The 20,729-nt window shown below is 53.8% G+C and overlaps 1 protein-coding gene across 5 annotated transcripts in view, besides 7 other annotated features; it reads right to left on the reverse strand.

Moving 5' to 3' along the window:
* The window catches only part of SLC19A1 (solute carrier family 19 member 1), a 60,509-nt gene extending 42,837 nt beyond the window's left edge, over positions 1-17,672 (reverse strand). For all 5 annotated transcript variants that reach the window (NM_001352511.3, XM_047440961.1, XM_011529700.3 and 2 more), the window contains exon 1: positions 17,389-17,672. The gene's annotated coding sequence lies outside the window, so the exon portion shown is untranslated. The remainder of the gene's footprint in view (positions 1-17,388) is intronic.
* Positions 4,778-4,934: a silencer, noted in NCBI's record as "fragment chr21:46970045-46970201 (GRCh37/hg19 assembly coordinates)". NCBI's record gives its function as "represses an EF-1alpha promoter that drives an FKBP-Casp9 reporter gene in an ReSE screen in K562 erythroleukemia cells {active_cell/tissue: K562}" and the evidence as "EXISTENCE:reporter gene assay evidence [ECO:0000049][PMID:32094911]".
* Positions 4,832-4,881: an enhancer, noted in NCBI's record as "active region_18592". NCBI's record gives its function as "activates an Ori minimal core promoter by ATAC-STARR-seq in GM12878 lymphoblastoid cells {active_cell/tissue: GM12878}" and the evidence as "EXISTENCE:reporter gene assay evidence [ECO:0000049][PMID:35858748]".
* Positions 5,502-5,561: a silencer, noted in NCBI's record as "silent region_13405". NCBI's record gives its function as "represses an Ori minimal core promoter by ATAC-STARR-seq in GM12878 lymphoblastoid cells {active_cell/tissue: GM12878}" and the evidence as "EXISTENCE:reporter gene assay evidence [ECO:0000049][PMID:35858748]".
* Positions 9,603-9,882: a silencer, noted in NCBI's record as "silent region_13406". NCBI's record gives its function as "represses an Ori minimal core promoter by ATAC-STARR-seq in GM12878 lymphoblastoid cells {active_cell/tissue: GM12878}" and the evidence as "EXISTENCE:reporter gene assay evidence [ECO:0000049][PMID:35858748]".
* Positions 10,393-11,287: an enhancer, noted in NCBI's record as "H3K4me1 hESC enhancer chr21:46975660-46976554 (GRCh37/hg19 assembly coordinates)". NCBI's record gives its function as "activates a minimal SCP1, AML or CMV promoter by ChIP-STARR-seq in primed H9 embryonic stem cells {active_cell/tissue: H9 hESC(primed)}" and the evidence as "EXISTENCE:reporter gene assay evidence [ECO:0000049][PMID:30033119]".
* Positions 10,568-10,817: an enhancer, noted in NCBI's record as "active region_18593". NCBI's record gives its function as "activates an Ori minimal core promoter by ATAC-STARR-seq in GM12878 lymphoblastoid cells {active_cell/tissue: GM12878}" and the evidence as "EXISTENCE:reporter gene assay evidence [ECO:0000049][PMID:35858748]".
* Positions 14,992-15,701: an enhancer, noted in NCBI's record as "H3K4me1 hESC enhancer chr21:46980259-46980968 (GRCh37/hg19 assembly coordinates)". NCBI's record gives its function as "activates a minimal SCP1, AML or CMV promoter by ChIP-STARR-seq in naive H9 embryonic stem cells {active_cell/tissue: H9 hESC(naive)}" and the evidence as "EXISTENCE:reporter gene assay evidence [ECO:0000049][PMID:30033119]".

Here is a 20,729-nt window from a genome sequence, read left to right on the forward strand (position 1 = left end):
TGTTTAAAAGAGTCCGGGACCCCCCCCTTGCCCTCCCCTCCTCCCACTCTTGCTATGTGACGCTGGCTCCCCGTCACCTTCCACCATGTGTGGAAGCTTCCTGAGGCCTCACCAGGAGCAGATGCTGGCACCATGCTTCCTGTACAGCCTGCAGAACCGTGAGCCAATTACACCTATTTTCTTTATGATACCCAGTCTCTGTGTTCCTTTATAGCAACACAAAAACAGCCCCCCTCATACGTACACACACGTACAGACACCACCAAGACATATGCACAGATACAGAGACGTAAACATACAGACATACACATGACACAGAGATACAGAGACATACACATGCATGCTCCCGTGCAGACGGCACCCCATATGCAGGAAGACGGGCGCGGACCGGCCTGCCATGCCCCAGCATGTGCAGTGAACTGGCCTGCACATGGCCTCAGCCAGTTTTTCCTCCCACATTTCCAGACGTCTCCCCAGTCTCACCTTGCTGAATGACAGGTGCTTCTGCTCCCATCTGAATCTGCTTGGTAGAGGTGCGGTGCGCCCTGTAAATGCCTTACCTGGCTTGCTGGCCAGTGGGTCTCTGCTGCAGCTGCCCCTCTCTCCAGCCCCCACTCCCGCCAGGCCTTCGCCCCCACTTTTTCCACGAGCTGACCTCCTAACACTCCCAGCGGCCAGGGGTAGCCCATCACAAGGGCCTAGGGGCCCAAAGGTCTGGAGAAGGGGGACTGACATGGATGCCCCTGTGTCAGGCCTCCCAGCACTAGCCCCAAGCCCAGGCCTGCCTGCAGCTGTGGCCCCCATCCTCTCAGAGGCTGAGCCGGGCCACCGTCCTCAGCACCTTGTCTGTGAAGCCAGAAGCCAGAAGCCCTGTGGCAGCTGAGCGGAGAAGCAAAGCCCAGAGGAAGAAGCGTTGTCCCTGGCCTGCCTGGAGCCCCGGAGCTCCTGGCTTCCGCATCCCCCAAGTGAGCGCAGGTCCCTCACAGCCTGTCACAGCCCCACAGCAGTGGGGCTAACCTGGGCCTGTGCCTGCCACACTTCTTCCCTGGAAGGGTGTCCCACCTGGTCCTCTGGGCATGGAGTTGAATTCTGAGCCCCACTGGGGCCCCGGACAGCGGCCCTAGCAGGCCCAGCCCCTCCCAGTTGAGCCCTGCCTGGCCCAGCAGCAGAACACTGAATCCCGATGCCCCCAAGTCTCCCTATAGCCAGACTTTCACAAAATCATGCTTAAATAGCCCATCTTTACTAGGGAAAGGGGGAGGTTTGAACCTCTTTGGAATCACAGGCAGCTGTTTAGAATAATGTCATCTAACGAAAGAGTGTTCGAAAAACATTAAAATAACCAGTGGAAATCTGGCCTACTGCAAGGTGGAGTTTGAAGCCTACACTGCCTGGTCCTCATTTCCAGAACTTGGAGGTGATAACCCTCCTGCCCACAGGTGGAGTGATGTCCGGCTACAGGAACATCCTGCGGTCGGAGGAGGTTTGCATCAAGCTCCGCCACAATCACAGGCATGCATCTTGGTTGCAAGCAAGCTATCCGAGAAACCTAAGCGTGACATTAGAAGACAAAATGATTGGGAAGGAAGCGGCAGAGTCTCTGTTCACAGATGATGCAATTGTCAGGGCAGTAAATCCTAACAGGTTATCAAAAATACTAGAAATAAGGGCATTTAGCAAGGTCATGAGATACTAAGTCTATATACAAAAGTAATTGTACTTCTATAATCTAGCAACAAATAATTGGAAGACAGAATTTGAAAAACAGTATTTACAACGCCAATGAAAATCAGAAAATATCTAAGAATGCATTTAATGAAAAATGTGTAAGTTCTCTATACCGAAAGCTGCAGAACATTACTGAGAGAAATTAGTGAAGAGCTAAACAAATGGGGGAGACAGACCTTGTTCATGGATTGTGTAAACCAAAAATAAACTTCTAAGCCCCCAACCGTCTGAACAGACCACTCCTCTGGGCAAGGGCATTCCAAAGTTAACCTGAAAAACTGGTTCAGGCCATGAGGGGAAGGGAGGGATGGATACTCGTCATTATACCTGACCCCCTTTTGGAATTCAGGGAAAGCCGACCAACTTTCAACGTCAACACAGACCTTAAGTCTGATAAGAATCATTTAGAATCTAGTCTTTGAAGCCTGCGACCCAGAGACTTCATCTGCTGCTAAAACTTTGATCTCCACAACCCCTTACTTAACCTAGACATCCCTTTCTATTGATAATAACTCTTTCAACCAATTGCCAATCCCGACATGTTTAGCTTTACCTGTAACCTGGAAGCCAGCCCCCACCAGGTTGTCCCACCTTTCCACACCAGAGCAGTGTATATCTTACATGTATTTGATTGGTGTCTCATGTTCCCTTAAATGTATGAGACCAGGCTGTGCCCAGTCACCTTGGACGCATGTTTTAGGATCTCCTGAGGGCTGCGTCAAGGGTCATGGTCACTCATATTTGGCTCAGCATAAATCTCTTCATATATTTTACATAGTTTGACTCTTTTCATTGACAATTGGAAGGCTCATTATTAAGGTGAACATTCTCCCCAAATTGATCCATAGATTCAGTGCAATCCAACAGAGATCTCACAGGCTTATTTCTTAGAAATTGAAATGTTGATTCAGAATTGAGATGGAAATGCAAAAGACTTACAATAGCCAGAACAATTGTGACTAAGAAAAGTGACGTCGGAGAGCTCAGAGATATGGAGACCAAGGGAAGCTGGTGGAGTCCGGCAATAGGACCACCCACATGGACCACAGATTTCCAACAAGGGTGTCCACGTAATTCATTTGGGGAAAGGGTGGTCTCTAGATCACATAGTTCAAGAACAGCTGGATATCCACAGGGGAAGATGAACATCAGACTTTATCACGTCCCTTTCACAAACACTAATTTGAGACCCAAACTAAAAGCTAACCCTGTCAAACTTGTAGATCTGTGTCCAGTGACACAGGAAGCAAACAAAATGCCACACCTGGGAGGAAACATTCATATTCCTTGTATCTGATACAGGACTTGTATCCAGACACGTAAGTGACGCTTACAACTGAGTAATAAGAAAATAGCCCACTTCTTAAAACACACAAAAGAGGCCGGGCGCAGTGGCTCACACCTGTAATCCCAGCACTTTGGGAGGCCGAGGCAGGTTGGTCACTTGAAGTCAGGAGTTCAAGACCAGCCTGGCCAACATGGTGAAACCCCACCTCTACTAAAAATACAAAAATGAGGCTGGTGTGGTGGCGGGTGCCTGTAGTCCCAGCTACTCAGGAGGCTGAGGCAGGAGAATTGCTTGAATCTGGGAGGTGGAGGTTGCAATGAGCCGAGAGCTCACCTCTGCACTCCAGCCTGGGCGACAGAGTAAGACTCTGTCTAAAAAAATAAATAAATAAATAAATATATGCAAAAGATTTGAACACTTAAATAAGACGTGAAAATGTACCTAATATCATAAATATCATAATCCTTTGTCATTAAGGCCTGAAGTACCAAACCACTCCTACTATAAAGGCTAAAATTTAAGAAGCTGACAATACTAAGTGTTGACAAGGCTGTGGAGTAGTATATGGGGATGTGAAATGTTACAAACACTTTGGAAAACAGTGGGGCAGCTTCTTGTGGAGTTTAACACGTGTCTACTTTATGAACCACAGTTCCACTCCTAGGCATCTGTTGAAGAGATGTGAATGCATGATCCCACAAAAGCCCATGCACAGGGGTTGTACCCTGTTCTCATGTAACTGCTAAAAACTGGCAACAACCCGAATATCCATTATGGGATGAAGGATAAACACGCAGTACATCCACATAACAGGGACTACTCAGACTAAAAGGAAATAACAACTGAGTGAGTCTCAGCACCCTCGTGCTGGAGGGGCCAGAGTCCAGCCTGGGAAAGTCCATCTGTAGGGGAGGGAGGCTCCGTCCTGGAAGGAGGCAGGTGAGCAGGTGCCTGTGGTGGAGGCTCGGGGTCAGTGGAATTGTTCTGTGTCTGATGGGGGTAGAGGTTAATGGTTGTGTTCATCTGTCAGACATGTTTAACAACTGCTTCTAATGGGTGCAATTTATGGCATGTGAATTGCACCTCGATAAAATTGTTTTTTAAAAGCCTGCACTGCTGGAAGTGGGGGAAAGGCCTGGAAGCAAGTCGAATGCTCCAAGCCCTCTCGTGTCTCTTGGGAGACAATCCAGGCCTCAGTTGGTTACAAGGGAGAACCCAGAACAGCCTCAGCCTCGGGAGAAAAGGGCAGTGATGTGGCAGGGGAGGGGCAGGGGGACAGGTAGTGGGTGGTGGGGAGGGGGACAGGTGGTGGGGGAGGGGCAGGGGGAGAGGTGGTGGGTGGTGGGGAGGGGGATAGGTGGTGGGGGAGGGGCAGGGGACAGGTGGTTGGTGGTGGGGAGGGGGACACTTGGCGGATTGTGGGGAGGAGGACAGGTGGGGGGTGGTGGACGGTGGGGAGGGGACAGCTGGGCGCACACTGTGGCTCTTGGTTGCAGATGGGGTACAGGTCCAGTATGCTCCAGCCACGTAGGTCTCCATGTGACCTCCTTCACATCTTGTCCCCACAGAGACCCTCATCTCTGCCCCTTCTTAGCCCCAGGGCAGCCCTCCCAGGCTGCAGAGCCCCGAACTCTCTGGCATCTTGGGAACTGTCTCTCCCCGGCCAGGCTGGCACATGCGGATGTTGCAGCATTGGCCAAAAGTGGACAGTGGGGGTCAGTGTGGGGTACCGCCCACCCCATCCCAGCCCCTCCTGGGCTGCTGTGCATCCTGCTCCTGCCCACCCAGCCCAGGCTGGCACCTCCTCCTGGTCTCTCCCACACCCCATGCACCGCCCTGGTCACTTCTGTGGTTTGGGGTGTTTCCCTCCTGGGGAGGCGCCTCCTGCCTGATGAGACCTCTGAGCCCCAAAGGGTCACATGAGACTGTGTCCCCAGGTGGCAGCTGTTGGTTCTCTCCAGCCCCCACAGACACCTCAGGCCCTCGTATGCCAGACCGCTTGGAGATGGGGTCTTCTGTGCTCCCTTCTTCCCATGGGCCACCTGCCACCCCGTCCACAAGCACAAGTGAACGTTTCCACGTGGAAAGGGCTGGTTCTCCAGCTGGAATTTCCTTGACTACACGGTCTTATTAGATCCAGAATGGAACTGCATGAAATAAACAGGGAGATTTGGGCAGGATGGAGCTCAGTTCTCCCAGCCAAGGGGAGACCACAGCCAGCTCTCCATTCACGGTTCAGGATCACAGCAGCCCCGCCGGGAGGCTTGGCCTTGCAGGCCCCGGGCTTCCGTGGTTTTGTTGCATGCAGATTTCGTCGTCTTCTTCTGAATGTTTCAGTATTCATGTGTTCCTGGATGACTGGCGTTCCCTCTCAATTTTCACACGCAGTAGTGCAGGGGCGTGCAGTCTGCAGACCCCTCTCCTCTCCTCCACCTTCTCAACCTCCCTTACCTCCACACCCATCTCCCCTCCCTGCCTCCCTCCTCTGCCTTCCTCCCCTCTCCTCCGCCTTTCTGTCCCCTTCCCTCCCACCACCGCCCCCCACCCTCCCCCCGCCTCCCCACAACCCTTCCCCCACCCTCCTCAACCTTCCCAGCACTGGCCCCCGCCTCCATTCTCCTCCCCACAACACCCACTTCCTCCTCTACCTTCCCCCTTGTCTTAGTCCCTTTCCTGTTCTTCACAGTCCCAGCTACGCCTGGGTTGGTTGCACTCTCTGTTCCTCTTATTTTCTTTCAAGGAACTACCTTTTGGATCTAAAAACTCAAGTTTTACTTAAGAGGCTGAGGCAGGAGAATAGCTTGAACCCGGGAGGTGGAGGTTGCAGTGAGCCGAGACACTGCACTCCAGCCTGGGCGACAAGAGCGAGACTCCATCTCAAAGGAAAAAAACAAAAAAAATCAAGTTTTAATTGCTTTCCAATTAATTAATTTCTGCTTTTCTCATTATTTTTTCTTTTTCCTGTTGACTTTGTTGTTCCTTTCCTGTTCTAGTTTCTGAGTTAACTGCTATGTTCCTTTAATTTGAATAAAACTAGGAATAATAAACCATTTAATAATTCATTCCTCTCACGGGGCACCTTTGGCCAGGCCCATGGACGCTGTGTCACTACACTTGTTGCTGTCAGCCTCTACGTAGGACGTGATTTTTGCTTGATTTCCTCTTGGACTCATGACTCATTACAGAGAATGATTCAAACGTTTCCAGTAGGCAGATGTTGTTGTTTGTTGGTTTAATATGTCGTTTTATAAAGTTCAGATCAAAGAACGTGGCCTAAGCAGGTATTCATTTTGTGAAATTGTTTTGAGCTTCGATTTGTGGCTTGGTTTTGGGTTATGTTTTAAACTTTTTCATGGGCTTTCGAAAAATGCATATTCTCTATGCACATCGTGTTTTATATGAATAAAATCTAAATTGCAAATAGTGGGATTTCAATCTCTGATAGCCTCATTCATGCATTGTCTGGGGTATGTGTCAAGTTTGCCAGAGTGAAGGGCCCCGCCGTGACTGGGGTTCGCGCCTCCCTGCATGTCCACGCCTTTATGTCCGTACTTTAGGGCAGTGTGGAGATGGACCCACACCGCCTGCGTGTTCTGCCGCCACGCTGGCCTGAGACCTCGGCTTCCTGTGCGGCCTCCTTATGGCTGTTTCAGGTGCGTTCCTCAGAGCATGGGGTGGAATTTGCTTTTCTACAAAAGGTGTCTGCCCGAGTGTCTGACCCACTGTCTCGCCGCTCCATGGGGCTGGCTGTGTGGTGGGGACTGACGGCCTCCTCAGGAGGAGACAGTGATGACCCCAGGGAGTGGGTGAGGCCACTGTCAGACCAGAGAGATCTGCGATGGGCCAAAGAAGAGGCTGGGCTGCTGCTGCTGCATCTGTGTCTGCCCAGGGGAGCTACATCCTGGCCTCAGGACCTCCCTCCCAGCCTGAGCAGCAGGGGTCAGGCTGGTCCAGCTCTCAGGAGTGTCCCAGGGAAAGAACAAAACTGCCCTCCTGTCCACTCCAGGGAGACCCACAGGCTGTGCCACCAGCAGGCAGTGTGGACATCGGTGGCTGTTGGGTCGGGGGCCCCAGGGAGAGCCCCTGGGGAGAGCGACACCCACCCGGAGGCTCAGGCCAGGCCAGGACCGCAGCCCTCGAATGTGCAGAGACCCCGGGTCCTACCCAGGCCCGGGTCTCGGGACCACGTGGAGGAGGGATTAGCGCGTGCTATAATCCGCAGTCACCAGCAGAGCAGACAGCCTCTCGCCCAGAACAGGGCACCCGGGACAGCCCCAGCCCCAGCAGAGAGGGGCTGGTCTCAGCGAAGTGGAGCGGGTCTTAGTGGGTTGGGGCCAGTCTCATCCTGGCCCTGGGTGTGTCCCAGACCCCTAATGCGGAGCCTGCAGGTCATTCCTGGCCCATGAGTCTGACCTGACACGGGAGTCTCTGGGCTGGTCCGCCCGTCCACCCTGTCCCTGCGTTTGTGCTGATAGGAGGACACTGCTCAAAACACACGACGGCTGTGTGCTATAATCCACGGTCACCAGCAGAGCAGACGGCCTCTCGCCCAGAACAGGGCACCCAGGGCAGTGCCAGCCCCAGCTCTCCGTGGCGCCCCCCATGTGCTCACTTTTACACAAGACCTCGCGCAATGGAAGCTCTTCCTCCTGGCAAATCGCAGGGGGCAGATTCCACTAAAACAAGACTCCACCGGGCGGCAGGTGGCCAGGCTCAGGGCTGGGGCAGGACCGGAGCGGGGGCCTCGCTGGAGGCTGGGCCTGGAGGGCAGGGGCCTTTGCTGCCGTGGGTGCAGTTTTGTAAGCAGAGGCTGGGGCTGGGTCCTGCCCTGCAAGCTCTACTGGTCCTTCCAGGCACCGCGCATCCCTCCCACCGGCCTAAGGGGACGGGAGCCGCTGACCTTTAGGACCTGTGCAAGGGTCATGGTGCTGTGTGAAGGACACGACTCCAGGCCACATCCTCCCTCCAGCCCATGAGGGTCCCCGGGATAAAGTCCAGAGGAGCCACAGGGGACACGGCTCAGTGGGAGGCAGCCCGGCCCATCACAGTGCCAGCCCTAGGCCTTGCTGTTATTATTTTGTATTTTTTTTGTGGTAAAAGAGACATAAAATGTACCATGTTAACTATTTTTAACTGCACACTTCAATGGCATTAAGGACATTCACACTGTTGTGCGGCCGTCACCCCCATCATCTCCAGAACTCTTTCGTCCTGCAAAACTGAAGCTCTGCACCCAAGACACACTCACCCCCAATCCCCCCGCGCCCCCCTCCTAGTCCCCCCGCGCCCCCTTCCCAGTCCCCCACACCCCATCCCAGTCCCCCACGCCCCATCCCAGTCCCCCACACCCCCTCCCAATCCCCCACACCCCCTCCCAATCCCCCACGCCCCATCCCAGTCCCCCACACCCCCTCCCAATCCCCCACGCCCCCTCCCAGTCCCCCACGCCCCCTCCCAGTCCCCCACGCCCCCTCCCAGTCCCCCACACCCCCTCCCAGTCCCCCACACCCCCTCCCAGTCCTCCACGCCCCATCCCAGTCCCCCGAGCCCCCCTCCCAGTCCCCCGTGCCCCCCTCCCAGTCCCCCACGCCCCATCCCAATCCCCCATGCTCCCCCAATCCCCCGCGCCCCCTCCCAGTCCCCCGCGCCCCATCCCAATCTCCCCGCGCCCCCTCCCAGTCCCCCGCGCCCCCTCCCAATCCCCCCGCGCCCCCCTCCTAGTCCCCCCGCGCCCCCTTCCCAGTCCCCCACACCCCCTCCCAATCCCCCACGCCCCCTCCCAGTCCCCCACGCCCCCTCCCAATCCCCCACGCCCCCTCCCAGTCCCCCACGCCCCATCCCAGTCCCCCGCGCCCCATCCCAGTCCCCCACGCCCCATCCCAATCCCCCATGCTCCCCCAATCCCCCGCGCCCCCTCCCAATCTCCCCGCGCCCCCTCCCAGTCCCCCACGCCCCCTCCCAATCCCCCACGCCCCCTCCCAATCCCCCGCGCCCCCTCCCAATCCCCCCGCGCCCCCTTCCCAGTCCCCCACGCCCCCTCCCAATCCCCCACGCCCCATCCCAGTCCCCCGCGCCCCCATCCCAGTCCCCCATGCCCCCCCAATCCCCCGCGCCCCCCTCCCAATCCCCTGCGCCCCCATCCCACTTTCTGGCCGGGTCTGGCCACCGCGGGGCCTCTGAGTGGAACCACGCACAGGGGGCGTCCTCTTGTGCCTGGCCAGGGGCACTCAGCATCGTGTCTCCAGGTCCCTGCACGGGGCAGCGGCGTGGAAACTTCCTTTCAGGCCGGCGATCCTTCCTGTGTGCGTCTCCACATTTTGATTTTTCATTTATGGATGGACATTTGGACATCTCCTTCCGCTTGGCTGTGGTGACTAAAGCTGCTGTGCTATCATTTTTACTATTATTGTTATGACAAGTTGACAAGTGAATCTTTCTCTTACGGTTTCGGTTTTTCCCATCTTATTTGCTTTTAACTGTCCAGATTCATTGAGTCCCAGCAGCGGGCCCTGTTCCCGGCTTCAGTGGCGAGGCCCCTCGCCTTCTCCCCAGAAGCAGCCCCTTTGACGACATCGGTACTTTCGGTCCATTCCCTGGGTCGATGTTTCCAGAACCCCGCGCCCAGGAGCACGTCCAGGTTATGCGTGGGGCCGCCCTGTGCGCGCGCCTGGAGGCCTCGGGTTTCCCCGACGCAACGCGGGGAGTGGCCACCAGGGGGCGAGCGGCGCCCGGAGCCTCCGCGGGTCCCAGCCCAGCAGCCTCGCGACGCAGGGGGCGGTGCAGGGGGCGGCGGGGGCGGCGCAGGGGGCGGTGCAGGGGGCGGCGGGGGCGGCGCAGGGGGCGGTGGGGGGCGCCGGGGGGCGGCGCAGGGGGCGGCGCAGGGGGCGGCGCAGGGGGCGGCGCAGGGGGCGGCGCAGGGGGCGGCGCAGGGGGCGGCGGGGGCGGCGGGGGGCGGCGGGGGGCGGCGGGGGCGGCAGCGCTGCAGGTGGGGGTGGGGGTTGCAGGGGCGGCGGGGACAGTATGGGAGGCAGGGGCGGTGTGGAGAGCTGGGGGCCGTGGGGGGTGTTGGGGGCGGGAGGGGGATGGGGGAGGTTGTGGGGGGAAGGGGAACCGGCTTGGGTGGCCATGCAGGCGACGCGGGTTGCAGGGAACGGAGGTGCAGGGGGCGGCGGCGGGGGCGGCGGCGAAAGGGGACGGGCTTGCGTGGCCCCGCGCGGGGGCTAAGGGGCTGCAGGCCAACCCACCGTCCCGGGCACTTGGGACTCAGGAGGGCGGGGCGGGGCGGGGCGGCCCGCGTGGGGAGTGCCTGAGGCTGGCCTAGGCCCTGGGACCGTAGCCTCCCGAGCAGGGTGGGCTCCACGCGAACGGCGGGCGCTGGCAGAAAGCGACCCACGCAGAGTTCCGCGCCAGCCGAGGGGCCCGGCTGCCGCCCATGCGCGGTCCTGGAGGTGCCGGGAGGGGGTCGCGGACCCTGAGGCAGGATCCACGTGGTCCCTGCGGGCCCAGTGAGTGACATCACCGCGACGCTGCGCATGGAGCAAGCTCTACACCCGGGAGATGGCCACGGTGCGCATGCAGCAAGGTCTACTCCCGCGAGGTGACCACGGGACAGACGATCCTCTGAGGTTTCCAGGAAGACCCCCGCCCTAATCCTCTGAAGGTCGGAGGTCACAGGTCAAAGCCGAGAACAGAAGCTGGGGTGGGGCACACAGAGGTGGAAAGAGGGGCCTGAGCATCGGGCGGCCACCAGCAGGGTCCCCTCCTGGCCACAAGGACGCTCCCGTTCCAGTCCCCGGAAGAGGGTGGCTGCAGCCACCCCGGGGATGACCAGCAGAGGTCCTCACGGCCTGCGGCCCGGGGAGACCTGAGACTCCTAAGCTGAGCACGTCAGCGTCTCTACCTCCACCGCAGACAGAAAGACCGGGCGGACCCAAGACTGCAAGCTCAAGCCCTGGCGGCAGGGCAGCGGGGCCTGTGAGGGCCGAGGGTGGACGCTGCTCTGAGCCAGACCCGCTCGTCAGCAGCTCGGCCTCCCCCGCTGCTCCCCACCAGCGCCCGGGCTTGGGTGTTTGGTGCTTCCAACTTTTCAAGAGAAGCTTGAAATCTGTAATTCTTATGTGAAATCCTGCCTTTCTTAACTAATTAAAGACTTAAAATTAGCTAGTTAAAATTAATTAAAATTGATTAAATTTGTACTAATTAAAACTAACTGAATTCTTCTCAAAACACCGTGCAGACGAAACCAGTCAGTGACACACCTGTCTGCAGCCATAGCACCAGGAGACATGGGGTGGGGGCCAGGGACATGGCCGGAGCTGCCACAGACAGGACAGAACAGGACGTTGTCAAGCGCTCTGTGGCTGATCTGTCTCTGTTGCACCAAAGTATTTTAAATGTTCTCTCACGTCCTCTGGAAGATCTTGGATGGGGAGAGAGGCGGGGTGGAGGGTGGCATGGGAGTCCTGTGGCCGGGGCTTCCTGGGGGCCCTGCACAGCAACCGGCCTGCACGTGTCTCCTGGGACGGCGACTCAGATGCATGTGTCACCTGGGACGGCACCTCAGACGCATGTGTCTCCTGGGACGGCGACTCAGATGCATGTGTCTCCTGGGACGGCGCCTCAGAGGCCTGGCTACTCCGAGAGGCCTCTGGACACCATGTAACCTCCCCTGGGCTCAGCCCTGGCCTGGCCAGTGCCCTGGTACCAGGACTTGGGCACCAGCCACTGCCTCCCCACGTGTCAGCTCCTTGCACAATGGCACCCGCTGCATGGAGCTGCCCAGGACTCAGGAAGAACGGAGCTGGAGGCTGGGCCCTGGGGCTGCTGAAGCCCTGGCAGCAGGAAGGGATTTGAGATAGAGAACCCGAGGCCAGAGCACTGGGGCTCAGACAGCGGCCCGGGAGATGGGTCTTCCCTATCAGTGGAGACAGACCTTGGCCTCGTGACACCCTGGAGTCCCCGGCTTTGACCCCGTAGCCCGTGCCACATTCTCCTGAGGCTTCTCGTCTGCTCTGGGTGAACCAGGTGCTGGCCTGTGCCTTGTGGCCCCAGCCTGGCCCTGAGCCCCGGGTCCTGCACACCTTGCTGGTAGTCTCTGTCACAGAGACGGTTGGGCCCGGAGGCTGCTGGCATGTGAGTGTCCGCCTGGAGTGTCCTGCTCCAGCCACAGCCCTGCAGTGGTTCATGGCCAGAGCAGAGGAGCGAGGGCTGGGGGTTTGTGCAGTGACCAGGACCAGGGTGCAGGGGCCCAAACCAAGGCCACTCACTGCCCTGAATTGAGCAGAAGGGATGCTCTGAGGCTCCCGGGGAGCCTCAACCCTCCACCACACTCAGACAGTGTGCCTCTCTTGGACCGTGTCCTGCGCTCTGGTGACTCTCGGGGATGCTAGTGAGGAGCTTGTCCCGGCTCAGGCTGAGCCCTCTGCTCAACTAACAGCACAGACGCAGCCCAGACAGTTGCGGAGGGGAAGCAGGTGTGGGGGTGGCCGTGCCCTCGGCACTCGGACTTGGCCTCCTGAGCCCAGTGGCGTGGGGAGTGATAGTGTGATGCTCACCTTTGCCTCCTGCGTGTCTGACGGAATCATTCCTGTTTAGACATGAGCTCCATTCTTCGGAGGGCATGACCAGGAGGCCACCTATTTGGGGATATTTTTAGAGTCATGCCATCCAAGGCAGTCTGTGCCGAGTGGCTCCATATTCAGACAGCGGCGGCATCGTCTCCAAGCCTGGGCTCAGTGGTTAGCACGTCCCGTGCTGACGAGAGACTGGAGGCGGCTTCTGAAAACCCTTCGGGGCCAAGGCTCTCTAGTCGGACTCCACACGGCTGGTGACAGATCAGGCCAGACAAGTGCATGACACCCACCATCCAAGACGACAGGCTGAGACCCCCCAAGTCCAGGTGGGCCACGGCTGGCTGGACCTCAGCTGGGACTCGGACATGCTGGCTCTGCAGCCTGGCCCCAGGGTGTGGGCCTGCAGCTCTGGCTGCTGAGAAATCCCCAGTGGGCCCTTCAATCTTTGAAGGATTCGCCCCATTGTCACTGCAGTGAGACCCCCTGAGAACCCGGGAAGGCAGTGGTGCCGCAGAAGGGGTGCTGGCCGGCGAGCCTTGGGGATCTTCCCAGGGATGCAGCAGGTGGGGCTGTGACCAGGCTGCAGAGGGTGTTTCTTCTTCGTATGTGGCCAGTGTGACTTGAGTTCAGCCCCAGAAATAAATGTGTGAGAGGACTGCGTTTGGTTTGAGCGAGGGCAGGCACAGGTAGGGAGCGGAGCTGCTACAGGAAGCCCTGCGGCTGGGAATCTGAGGGAGTCGGGGCAGCCTTGTTGCCAGGGCAGGACAGAGTACGGCCACCTGGTTGCTTGGAACAAGGTGGAGCTGTGTTCCAATTTCTCAGCACACAGGGAAACACATTTCAGTTAAATTGAATTTTCTTTTTCTTTTTTCTTTTTTTTTTTTTTGAGGTGGAGTCTGGCTAGGTCCCCAGGCTGGAGTGCAATGCTGCAATCTCAGCTGACTACAACCTCTGCCTCCCAGGTTCAAGCGATTCTCCTGCCTCAGCCTCCCAAGTAGCTGGGATTACAGGTGCACACCACCACGCCCAGCTAATTTTTGTATTTTTAGTAGAGACGGGGTTTCACCATGTTGGCCAGGATGGTCTCGATCTCTTGACCTCGTGATCCATCCACCTCAGCCATCCAAAGTGCTGGGATTACAGGCATGAGCCACCGTGCCTGGCCTAAATTGAATTTTCATGTGGAAGTCAATAACTACATAAATTTGGGAATGTCAGTGGCAGAAATCACAAAGGAAAAGATGAGTAGATGTGCTTGCATCCAACCTAAAAACATCTTTAAGTCAAAAAGCACCATGAAGAACTGCCAGCCCCTCAGCTGTGTGGAAACATCGCAACGTTGAGGCCGGGTGAGTGTCGGTGTCCTGGGTCCATCAGGGAATTGCCCCCATCTGTGTATTTAGGTCGGTGAGGTGTCACCACGCACCGACAAGGAGACAAACACACACACTGAAAATGGCCAGGGGTGTGGGCGAGTCCCCCATGGGGACCAGCGGTAGGCAGCATCCTCCGGAGACCACGGGAAGGCCAGGTCTTCCAGCTCCAACTTGCAAAGATTTGCTAAGATTTATATTTTTTTCCAGTTGTTTTTCAGTCTTTATTTTATTGAGGCCCCTGCAGGTACCTGTGGATTCTGATTTGCAGCTCTGTCCAGGGAGCATCCGGCCAAACCTGGAGCCCGGGGCGTGCGGATGGACCTCTGGACGTGGGGCCACACCTGTGCGCGAGTTTTCTCACTTACTGGCTCGGAGGTGGTTCCACATCAGCACACGCAGAGCTTCCGTGTTCCTTATTAACAGCAGTGAAGAACTAGTCATTCAAATGCGCATCATTCCCTCACACAGGGTATTTTTAAGAGAAATTGCTAGACATGGAGTTTGCTGTCAAAATGGCCCCCAGTGTGACAAGCAGATTTATTTTTACTGTGACATCCATTTCTGATGATGATGGGGGCAGACAGCCCTCCACATGGGCAGTGGGCACAGCTGAACCTCAGGCAATCGGCCACAGCCCCAGAGACAGGATCCGCATGTGAACAGACCACCAGCAGGGGCCAAAACGTCGGAAATGCAGCTTACTCTGCAGAAGGCAGCACGTCACACCCCCCAGCTCCCAAAATGTAGGAAACTGGCTCGTGCCAGGTGTGGCTAGAACGTGGGCATAGGGGAGCCCTGGGGTCACTCATGGAGCATAAACCGTGCAGCCTTCCTGGGGAGCGGCCTGGCCCTGAGAGGTGGGGACGCCAGGGCCCGGCAAAGTCCTCTCCAGGATCCACCCCCCAAGGACTCCTCCCACAGCCACACAGGGCCCACACAGGGACGTGCCCACGGCTCAATGAGGCCAGCAGGAGCGGGACACTCCATGTCCATCACCTTGGGAGGGTCAGGCAAAGCGCACTGGGTGCCCACTATGGCCCCCACAGGAGCTAATCCACCATGCAGCAGGGAGGGGTCTTGGAGACGCTATGTGGGAATGGGATGTGGCACTGGCACCCCCGCTAGGGTGCCCACGGTGGCGCCCACAGGAGCTAATCCACCACGCAGCAGGGAGGGGTCTTGGAGACGCCATGTGGGAATGGGATGTGGCACTGGCACCATGGTAGGAAGCGAAATCAGAGTCCAAACAAAGAGACACACACTCCTCCAGAACAGGAGGGAAGAGACAACACCAGCAAGGACGGCCGCACACGGCGGGGCAGGGGAGCGGAGGTTGGAGTTGGGAATGAGGATTTGAAGGACCAAGAAGAGGAATGACAAAGGTGAGGTGCCTTGCGGAGTGGTGACAACAGTGGCCAAGTGCCAATGAGGAGGACGAACCCAATGCTGGGCTGAGGCCAAACAGACAAACAAGAAGAGCAGCACCCAGGCTTGGAGCTGAGGGAGGCCCGAGCCCCGGAGAATCGGCGCTGTCCTCTGAGCTGGCCTCTCTGATGCTGCTTTCTCCATGATAAAGAGGCGCTCTCACGGCTGGCGGAGGGAATGCTCATGGCCTGGCTCAGCCTCAGCTGCTGCTCTTACAACTGCTGTGGTCATTCCCTGCCCTTAGAAACGAAGCTGCTTCCCAGCCACCCATGTGCAAAGGAAGAAGGAAAGAACGAGAATAAACGACCAAGCCTAATCCACTTTCCCTGCCTTGCGAACCACAGTATTTTCTGCTGCCGTGCACTTGGAGAGAGCAAATGTCACCGAGTCTTGTTGAGAAGACAAGAGAGGCAAGAGGTCTGAACAACACCCAGCTGGGGGCAAATGCCTTCAGACAAGCACAACCAAAGTAAAACAGGAACGAGCAATGACCCTAAAAGATGTGCTAGAAATAATTGACCAAGTATAAAATAAATATTTGAGTATTCTATTGCAGTAACTTGCCATGCCATTCACTTGTAATAAATGAACCTCTTTCAAGTTAGAACATGTTGCGTTTGTGCAGCCAGGATTAAATATGGTAGGTCTGGGGCCCGGAGCGTCTCCCGGTGTTCCCACTCCTGGCCTGGTGGGTTCCAGCTGCAAGTGCTGGACTCTGCATTGGAAGTGAGGGTGAGGCCGGGCGCGGTGGCTCATGCCTGTAATCCCAGCACATTGGGAGGCTGAGGTGGGCAGATCACCTGAGGTTAGGAGTTCGAGACCAGCCTGGTCAACATGGTGAAACCCTGTCTCTACTAAAAATACAAAAATTACCCAAGTGTGGTGGCATGCACCTGTAGTCCCAGCTATTTGGGAGTTTGAGACAAGAGAATTGCTTGAACCCAGGAGGCGGAGGTTGTAGTGAGCCAAGATCATGACACTGCACTCCAGCCTTGGGGACACAGCGAGACTCCATCTCAAAAAATAAATAAATAAATAATAAATAATTAAAAAATTAAATAAAAAGTGAAGGTGGGAACCTGCACAGCAAAGAAAGATAAGACTTCCAGGCTGGGTGCAGTGGCTCACGCCTGTAATCCCAACACTTTGAGAGGCCAAGGCGGGCAGACCACAAGGTTAGGAGATCAAGACAATCCTGGCCAACATGGTGAAACCCTGTCTCTACTAAAAATACAAAAATTAGCTGGGCATGGTGGCGGGCGCCTGTAATCCCAGCTATTCAGGAGGCTGAGGCAGGAGAATCACTTGAACCCAGGAGGCGGAGTTTGTAGTGAGCTGAGATCGCGCCATTGCACTCCAGTCTGGCAACAGATCAAGACTCTGTCTCAAAAAAAAAAAAAAAAAAAGACAAATCCAGAAATGCACACTAACTCCAAAGGGTTTCCTTTTAATCTTAAGACAGTTATCAGTCAGAGAGCTCAGGCATGAACCAAAATCTATGTTTGTGGAAAATGATACACAGACAACACTCACCACACAGGTGCATCACACTGACACGACACCACACGCATTCACCACATCGGCATCGTAAAGGGAAGCCCCAGTGACTACGGAACATTTGTGACTGTCTCTGGGAAGTTTTTCAAAAGGCCAGTTCTGAAAACTTCCACTAACAGCCTGGGAGGAACAGAACCTAGACTCACTCTCCCCCATGAAACAACTGAAAAAAACAGGCAAATATGTGAAGCAAAATGTTTTCAGAGCCTGGTCTCCGGCAGCGTGGTGCAGTGCTCCCTGAGAGACGTGAAACAAACGGGTTGAGACCTAGAGCTGCCGGAGCTCATGACCAGGAGAGAGTTTCCAGGATGCAGCACAGGGAAAAGGAATCCAGGCAGAACCACGGTTTCCTACAGCTGAGGAAACACAGCTGGGAGCCTGCTAGGCAAAGATGGCCATAAACCACAGGACGGAGTCCCAGACAGAAAGGAGCTGTACTTACGGTAGATTCCAACAATCCGCAGAAGATCCTCCTCCGGTATCTAGGTGTGAATGGATCAGAGGGGAAGGAGCTGAATTTACGGTAGATTCCAACAGTCCATGGAAGATCCTCCTCCAGTGTCTAGGTGTGAATGGATCAGAGGGGAAGGAGCTGAATTTACAGCAGATTCCAACAGTCCGTGGAAGATCCTCCTCCGGTATCTACGTGTGTACGGATCTGTGCAGGTGTGAGAGGCAAATACTCAAGGCCAGGGAAAGACCATCAGAAAGAGAAGCAGAAGTGACCCTTAGAGCTCATGCACAGGCAGGAATGTTGCCTGTTCCGCCAGTCAGAGCAGAGATCTCATGGCCCATGGGACGTGGAGTGGAGCACTCAGAAGGCTTTGCCACAGTAGGGGAGATAAACTCGTTCTAGGCTAAAAACTGTTCTGACCTTGCCTGAAACGTTCAAAGCAAGCCTCGGGAGAAACAAACTGTTTCCATGTAACTTAATTGCATTCCAGAACAAAGCTCAAGAATATTTGTAGGAAGACAAAAATGTCAATTATTTAACAAAGTAAACTCAGAATATCTGGCATGCAATCAAAAATTAGTGGGCATGCAAAAAAGAAAAAGAAAACGTAACCCAAAATGAGGATATAAATTAATCCATAGAAACAGATCTAGAAATGACAAAGAAGGTAGATTTAGCAGAAAAGGACATTAAAACAATTATTGTAACTATATTTTTATGTTCAAAATGGTAAAGAAAAGAGTGAGTATTAGGAGGAGACACATTGAAGATTTAAAAAAAAAAACACAAATCAAACTTCTAGAGATGAAAACTACAACGTCTGAGGTGAAAAGTACACTGGATGGGATCCCCGCAGATTAGACATTGAAGAAGAACAGATGCGTGAACCTGAAGACACAGCAACAGCAATAGAGACTGTACAAAATAAAACACACAGAAAAAAATACTTAAAAAATGGACAGAGCATCAGTGAGCTACAGGACAACTTAAAGTGCCCTAATGCGTGTGTAATATTAAGGCACTTTAAGTTGTAAAACAAGGATTTGAACAAGGTAAACCCACAAATCCAAGAATCTCAGTAAACCCCAAGCACAAGAAATATTAAGAAAACAACACCAAGTCACATTATAATCTAACTGCTCAAAACTTGTGTTAAAGAGAAATTTCTTAAAACCAACTAGAGGGAGGGAAAACTTCACATACAGAGGAATGAAGATAAGGATAAGGATGGATTTCTGATTGGAAACAATGCAAGTGAGAAGACCATGGAGCAACCTCTTTAAAGTGCCAACAGATTCTTTTTCTTTTTTTCTTTTTTCTTTTTTTTTTTTTTTTTTGAGACGGAGTCTTACTCTGTTGCCAGGCTGGAGTGCAGTGGTGCGATCTCGGGTCACTGCAACCTCCGCCTCCCAGGTTCAAGCAATTCTCTTGCCTCAGCCTCCTGAGTAGCTGAGTCTACAGGCATGCTCCACCACGCCTGGCTAACTTTTGTATTTTTAGTAGAGATGGGGTTTCACCATGTTGGCTAAGATGGTCTCAATCTCTTGACTTTGTGATCCACCCGCCTCAGCCTCCCAACGTGCTGGGATTACAGGCATGAGCCACTGCGCCCGGCCGAAAGTACCAACAGATTTTTAAAAAGTGTTAGAATTCTATACCCGAGAAAAGCATCTTTTAAAAATGGAGGTGAAATAGACTTTTTTAGGAATCCAAAGACTGAAAGATTTCATCAACAGTAGACAAATGTCATATGACATGTTAAAGGCAGTCGTCGGACAGAAGGACAATCTGAAGCTGGACAAAGGAATAAAAAGTATTGGAAATGGAAAATATGTGGACGAATATTAAAAACTTACTTTTAAAATATCCTTAAAAGATAACCAACTGCTTAAAACGAAAAGAAAAAACCTAATGATGTATTGTGAGGTTTAAAAATGTGTGAGGTTGGCCAGGTACGGTGGCTCACACCTGTAATCCCAGCACTTTGGGAGGCCGAGACGGGCGGATTGCTTGAGCTCAGGAGTTTAAGACCAGCCTGAGCAATGTAGCAAAACCCCATCTCTACAAAAAATACAAACAATTAGCCGGGCATGGTGGCACATGCCATAGTTCCTGCTACTCGGGAGGTTGAGGTGGGAGGACCTCCTGTGCCCGAGAGGTCAGGGTGGCAGTGAGCCATGATCGTGCCATTGCACTCCACAATCCAGCCTGGATGACAGAGTAAGAAAGACCCTGTCTCAAAAAAAAAAAAAGTGTGAGGTTTAAAAACGTGTGAGTTTTAAAAATGTTTGACAACAGCAAAAAAGGTGTGAGAGGGGATGGAAAGATGCTATTTTAATATCACATTACTGCGTAAGTTAAAGATACATACTATTTATCTTAAAGCTACAAATAAAAGAAAAAACAAGAATTATAGCTAATAAGCCAACAAAGAAGATAAATGGAATTAAAAACACAATGCAAAAGAAGGCAGAAAAAAGAAAAAATAACAGATGGAACAAATATAAGAAGAAAAGTAAGATAATAGATTTAAACCCAATCATATTAATAATCACAGTCATGTTCTAATTGCCCAAACAATTCAACTGGGGCAGAGATTATATGATTAGATAAGAAAGCCAGACTCAACTTTATGTTGCTGACAGGGAAAAACACTTTAAATATAAATATATAAAATTGGCTTAAAATCAAAAGATGGAAAAATATATACCATCGCACTATTCAAAAGATGGCCAGAGTGGCTATTACAATATCAAAGTAGATATCAGATAAGTAACATTGTAAGAAATAAAGAGGATTTTTTATAATAATAAAGGGATTAGTTCATCAAGAGATCTTAACAACCCTAACCATGTACGCACCTAATAAAGCTTCAAAATACATGAAGCAGAAACAGCTAGAATGTAAGGAGAAGTACACAAACCAACAATTACAGTCAGAGAGTTCAACACCTCATTTCAATAACTGATAGAACAAATTGATAGACAACTTAGTAAAGGCAGACAAGACTTGAAGGATACTATCAGCCAAATTAATATTTATCAAATATGTCACCCAGCAACAGGAGAATACACATTCTTTTCATCTGTACACAAACAATTTACCAAAATAGGCCGTATTCTGGGTCATAAAACAATTCCCGGCCGGGTGCGGTGGCTCATGCCTGTAATCTCAGCACTTTGGGAGGCTGAGTTGGGTGGATCACGAGGTCAGGAGATCAAGACCATCCTGGCTAACATGGTGAAACCCCGTCTCTCCTAAAAAAATACAAAAAAAATTAGCCGGGCGTGTGGTGGGCACCTGTAGTCCCAGCTACTGGGGAGGCTGAG

This window comes from Homo sapiens, chromosome 21 (assembly GCF_000001405.40).
Source record: "Homo sapiens chromosome 21, GRCh38.p14 Primary Assembly".
Classification (NCBI taxonomy): Eukaryota; Metazoa; Chordata; class Mammalia; order Primates; family Hominidae; genus Homo; species Homo sapiens.